The sequence below is a fragment of the Homo sapiens genome, chromosome 8 (assembly GCF_000001405.40).
Source record: "Homo sapiens chromosome 8, GRCh38.p14 Primary Assembly".
NCBI lineage: Eukaryota > Metazoa > Chordata > Mammalia > Primates > Hominidae > Homo > Homo sapiens.
The window spans coordinates 21,369,118-21,375,031 of NC_000008.11; the positions used below are offsets into that span (position 1 = coordinate 21,369,118).

The 5,914-nt window shown below is 41.0% G+C and overlaps 1 annotated feature.

Annotated features, from left to right (window-relative positions):
* Positions 722 to 1,244: an enhancer, noted in NCBI's record as "OCT4-NANOG hESC enhancer chr8:21227350-21227872 (GRCh37/hg19 assembly coordinates)". NCBI's record gives its function as "activates a minimal SCP1, AML or CMV promoter by ChIP-STARR-seq in naive H9 embryonic stem cells {active_cell/tissue: H9 hESC(naive)}" and the evidence as "EXISTENCE:reporter gene assay evidence [ECO:0000049][PMID:30033119]".

The following is a 5,914-nucleotide window of genomic DNA, read 5'->3' on the forward strand; positions in this document are numbered from 1 at the left end:
TGTTTCTATATTACAAACAGGAAAAAGGGAGATAAGTCAAAAGTATACAATGAAATCTTACTTCTTACAAGGTTTGGTGTTTTTATCCAGGAATGGAAGCTCCCCCCGAGAATTTGCCAAAAGACAATTGTCCAGAATGATGTCTCATGGCCATGCTGATGACAAGTGAAGCTAGAAATGTAAGTACTTTGTTTTGCTTTTTAGGGTCTATTGGACAGAAAGATAAGGGAGAAGGAAGTCAAGTGGGCCTTAAGTGAGTCAACCAGTAGTATCCATCATAAACGTTCCAAAAGAGGAAAAACAAACCAACCAGCAAGAAGACAAGGTAGGCACTATCCCCCTGTCCTCTGCATCATTATCTCTAATTCTTGAACTCACCAGGGGATGGCCAGGCGATTTGGATGAACCACTTGGCCTACCTCCAAAATGGACTGTATGTGTGCATGTGCATGAAGTCGTGGGGTTGGTGGGGAATGGGCACAGAGATCTGCTGAGAAAGGCCGTAGATACACAGTACTAACAGCCCTACGGATTCATGGAAGCCCTTGCATTATGTATATGCCAACCAATCATCATTGTTTTGGGAGTAAACAAAGAGACCACTAAATTTAGAATAAATTTCAAATTCACCTAAATGATACATGTCTGGTAAATGGGACCCTTTTGTGAAGCAAGAAACTGTCTGAAACATTCAGCTCCTGGTCTCTGGGGCAGAATACAACTTAAAAGGAACACAGGATTGTCAGAGCTTTGTTTCTCACATCATCCTCTAACAATCCCCATTCAGCATCCAGTGGCCTAACTGGATCCAATCCCTCACCAGCACCATTTAGGAGAGGCTCAGAAACTTCTGTTCCTTGGCATATGGTTAGCATGTGTGAATATCAACATGAAGTGTTACCAGAGGGACAGATAGAAGCTCAAGAAAGATCTACTACAAAAACAAAAAAGGAGGAAGACAGCCAGCTGGGGAGCCAGCAATCATCATTGTATAGTTAATGAGGCTGACAATGGAAAAGCACTTAGCTCCAGATGGAAGCTAGAAATTAGCCACATTCCAGCCCAGGGAGCGCAGGCCTGACCTGGGGGCCAGTTCTGGGACAGAGCACCAGACCCTGGGGAAGAAGGAACAGTGAATACCTTCTGATGACCTTTCAGTGGTCCTTCGTGATGGCAAGTCACAGGCACCTGAAAAGCCAGTTGTCCTGAGAGCATCACCTCCAAATTACAGAGGCGGAAGTTTTGAGGCATCCATGTGTTCTGCCTCTGAACTCCTCCCAGCACCTCAGCTCCCAGGGAGCTACCATAACCTGCAATTAACTAGATGGCACTACTTCTCCACAGCGAGCCAGGCACAGACCAGGAGTAGTTCCAAAAATGCCTCAGGCCTCGTCCTCCCCTCCAGGAGCCAACAGCCCAGCTGGGGTGCCCAGACACACAGCCCCAGAAGGTAATTAACAGTGAGCTGGTGGAAGGAACACGGCCCAGGTCAGGAGACTCGACTTCTCATCTCAGCTTGCTCACTAATTGGCCATATGACCTTGGAAATTTCAGGCCCTCCACCTCTCTGGACTTCAGTTTCATTGTTTATAAAGTGAGCTGGCTGAACTAGCATCAGTGGACGTGAAACTTTGCTAAGAGTGGGACCAATTTTTTCAAAAGGGAAGTTTTCAAGGAAACTAATATGTGAAATAGACGAAAGTGAAACCGATCTGTTTTGAAGCAGAAGGAGCCCCCAGCCAGGATGGTGCAGTCTCCCCAGAAGATGGTTTGGAAAGCACCGAAATAGGGTTCCTCCCAGCTCTGAATGGTCTGGAGATCCACCAACGTCAGTCTACTGCAACCACACGTGCTAAATGTGCAGTGATTGGAAGAGGCAAATGGTGTGTGTGAGGTCAGAAACCCAACCCACAGGCCACCTGAGCAGAGCAGCAGTAAGAATAGACTCCAGGTCCAAAGATTTGGAAGGACACTCATTAATTCCAGATGGACCTTTACCAGCATTACCTATAGATGCAGTGTCCTGCTTCATCCAGCTCAGCTGATCATCTGCTCGAGAGACTCCTCATTCTGGAACACTGTCCAGCTCCCAGGTTCCAGCCTGCTCCCGTGTCAAGTTCTGCTCTCTTGAATACCCCAAAGCAGTGCTACACAATGGAACTGTCTGTGATGAAGGAAACATTCCTATTTTGCACTGACTAATATAATCCATTAGCCAATAGTCACCTTATTGGCTATGGAGCACTTAAAATGTGGCTATTTCCACTGAGGAACTGAATTTTTAATTTCATTTTATGTAAACTTAGTTAGCCACATGGGGCTAGTGGTTACCATATTGGCCAGCACAGCATTTACGGATCTGTGTTTCCTCTCAAATCCCACCTTCTCTCCACCCTTAATCTAAATTGCATCACTGAGAGGCCCTCTCAGAAAGCAGTGGTGTGAGTTTCCCAGCCCCTGGAGAGTGTGGTCCTTGGACCTGCAGCATCAGCATCACCCAGGGGCTTACTGGAAATGCAAAGTCTCCAGCCTCCTCCAGTTCTCCTGGGTCATCACCTGTATTTTAACAAGATGTCTCAGTGACTTGTACCTTTAAGAACATTGAAGAAGCACCGTTCTAGCCCTCTGAGGGGGGCAGGACACAAAAAGAAACTGAGGCCCAGATAATGTGAATGGCTCATCAAGACTCACACAGCCAAAAATGGGTTGAAATAATGCTTCTAACCCACATCATCTGATTTTAGTTCAATGGACAGTTCATAGCCTCTCCTTATTTATCTGTCCTTTGCTTCTGCCCAGGAGTAGCCATTATCAATTTTTTAACAGGAGTCATTTAGTCTCCCAGACTGCCAGCTTACCCATTACCACTAAACTGTTAACACTTAAGCCCAGCCATTAACAAAGTTATTTAGCATAAACGGAAGGCAGCATCCTGGCCTCCATTACAGAGAGTGTAGCTAGACCATTGGTTTTCAACCTGGTAGGTACTTCAGGGGCTTTGCAAACATTTGATTCAAATTATAAATAGATACTAGAAATTTTTAAAGCACAGTACAGAACAGCACAAGCATGAAAACGTGTAGCATAATACATCTTAGCACTTAGAAGACCACCAAGACCACTGTGTAAATTTGTGACACCAGGTTAAATCGTCTTTTTTCAGAACTTACAATAATTTCTGCCATCTGACAAATATCCAAACTTCCGGTACAGGCATCATTGATTAGGAACATTGTTTTGCATTGGAGCATTTTTCATGTAGGGTTTTTTGGTTTTTAACTTAGATCTTCACGTTTCTTTGTGTGAAGAAACAGGCTGTTTCAGAAAACATATTATTGCTCTACGTGTGTTCCCCAAGCTGTTCAATGCCAGGCAAGGCTCAGGCTCTATGCTGGGGGCATCTTCTTTCTTGGCATAAGCTTCATGCAATAACTAGTGAAAAGTGACTTGCAGCATTAAGGTAACATCATACAACAATAGTTGAAGGGCTTTTGATAATTTATGGATGATTCTTACTTGATATTGAGTCATTTCTATTGAGAAATATGCATGCAATGAAATGCATAGACCTTCACTATATAATGGATGAGTTTTGGCAAATGCGTACACACCTATGTAAATAACAACCAAATTAAGTAAAGAACATTTCTGTTACCCAGGAAGGTTGCCTCCTGTCCTCTTCCAACCAGTCCTCATGACCTATGCCTGATTTCTACTTCTACAGATCAGTTGCATTCTGTTCTTGAACTTCATGTAGACGGAATCACACAATATGTACTCTTTTGTGCCTGTCTGCTTTCTCTCAGAGCTCCCAGGTCCCAAGAGAATTCACTTTTTTTTTTTTCCATAGGTTACTGAGGTACAGGTGGCATTTGGTTACATGAGAAAGTTCTTTAGTGGTGATTTGTGAAATTTTGGTGCACCCATCACCCAAGCATTATACACTGCACCCTATTTGTAGTCTTTTACCCCTCAACCCCTCCCACTCTTCCCCTCAAGTCCCCGAAGTCCATTGTATCATTCTGTTTATGTGGTGTATCATCTTTATTGACTTGTGTATGTTAAACCATCCCTGCATCTCTGGTATGAAACCCACTTGATCATGGTGGATTATCTTTTTGATATGTTGTTGGATTTGGTTAGCTAGTATTTTGTTAAGGTTTTCAGCGTCTATGTTCATCAGGGATATCGGTCTGTAGTTTTCTTTTTTAGTTATATCCTTTCCTGGTTTTGGTATTAGGGTGATACTGGCTTCATAGAATGAATTAAGGAGGATTCCCTCTGTCTTTGTCCTGTGGAATAGTGTCAAAAGGATTGGTAACAATTCTTTGAATGGCTGGTAGAATTCTGCTGTGAATCCGTCTGGTCCTGGACTTTTTTTGTTGATAATTTTTTAATTACCATTTCAATCTTGCTGCCTATTATTGGTCTCTTCAGGGTATCTAATTCTTCCTGATTTAAGCTAGGAGAGTTGTATTTTTCCATGAATTTATCCATCTCTTCTAGATGTTCTAGTTTATGTGCCTAAAGATGTTCATAGTAGCCTTGAATGATATTTTGTATTTCAGTGGTGTCAGTTGTAATATCTCTCTTTTAGTTGCTTAATGAGGTCATTTGGATTTTCTCTCTTCTTGGTTAATATTGTCAATGGTCTATCAGTTTTATTTATCTTTTCAAAGAACCAGATTTTGTTTCATTTATCTTTTGTATTATTTTTGTTTCAATTTCATTTAGTTCTGCTCTGATCTTGGTTATTTCCTTTCTTCTGCTGGGTTTGGATTTGGTTTGTTCTTGTTTCTCTAGTTCCTTGAGGTACGACCTTAGAATGTCAGATTGTACTCTTTCAGTCTTTTTTATGTAGGCATTTAGGGCTATGAATTTTCCTCTTCACACCACCTTTGCTGTATCCGAGAGGTTTTGACAGGTTGTGACATTATTGTCATTCAATTCGAAGAATTTTTAAATTTCCATCTTGATTTTGTTTTTGACCCAATGCTCATTCAGATGCAGGTTATTTAATTTCCGTGTATTTACATGGTTTTGAACATTCCTTTTGGAGTTGATTTCTAGTTTTATTCCGCTGTGGTCTGAGAGAGTGCTTGATATAATTTCAGTTTTCTTAAATATATTGAGGCTTGTTTTATAGCCTATCATATGGTCTATCCTGGAGAAAGTTTCATGTGCTATTGCATAGAATGTATATTGTGTGGTTGTTGGGTGAAATGTTCTGTATATATCTGTTAAGTCCATTTGTTCCAAGGTATAGTTTAAATCCATTGTTTCTTTGTTGACTTTTTGTCTTGATGGCCTGTCTAGTACTATCAGAGGAGTACTAAAGTCCCCCACTATTATTGTGTTGCTGTCTGTCTCATTTCTTAGATCTATTAGTAATTGTTTTATAAATTTGGGAGATCCAGCATTAGGCGCATATGTTTAGGATAGTAATATTCTTCTTTTGGACAGGGCCTTTTACCATTACATAATGTTCCTCTTTGTCTCTTTTAACTGCCGTTGCTTTAAATTTTGTTTTGTCTGATATAAGAATAGCTACTCCTCTTCACTTTTGGTGTCCATTTGCATGAAATGCCTTTTTCCAATCCTTTAAGTTTACATGAGCCCTTATGTGTTAGGTGAGTCTCCTGAAGGCAGCAGATAATTTGTTGGTGAGTTCTTATCCATTCTGCAGTTCCACATCTTTTAAGTGGGACATTTAGGCCATTTACATTCAATGTTAGTATTGAGATGTGAGGTACTATTGCATTCATCATGCTATTTATTGCCTGTGTACCTTGTTTTTTTTGTTGTTGTTTTTGTTTTTTAAATTCTATGTTAGTTTTATAAGTCCTATGTGATTTATGCCTTAAAGAAGCTGTATTTTGATGTGTTTCCAGGAATTGTTTCAAAATTTAGAGCT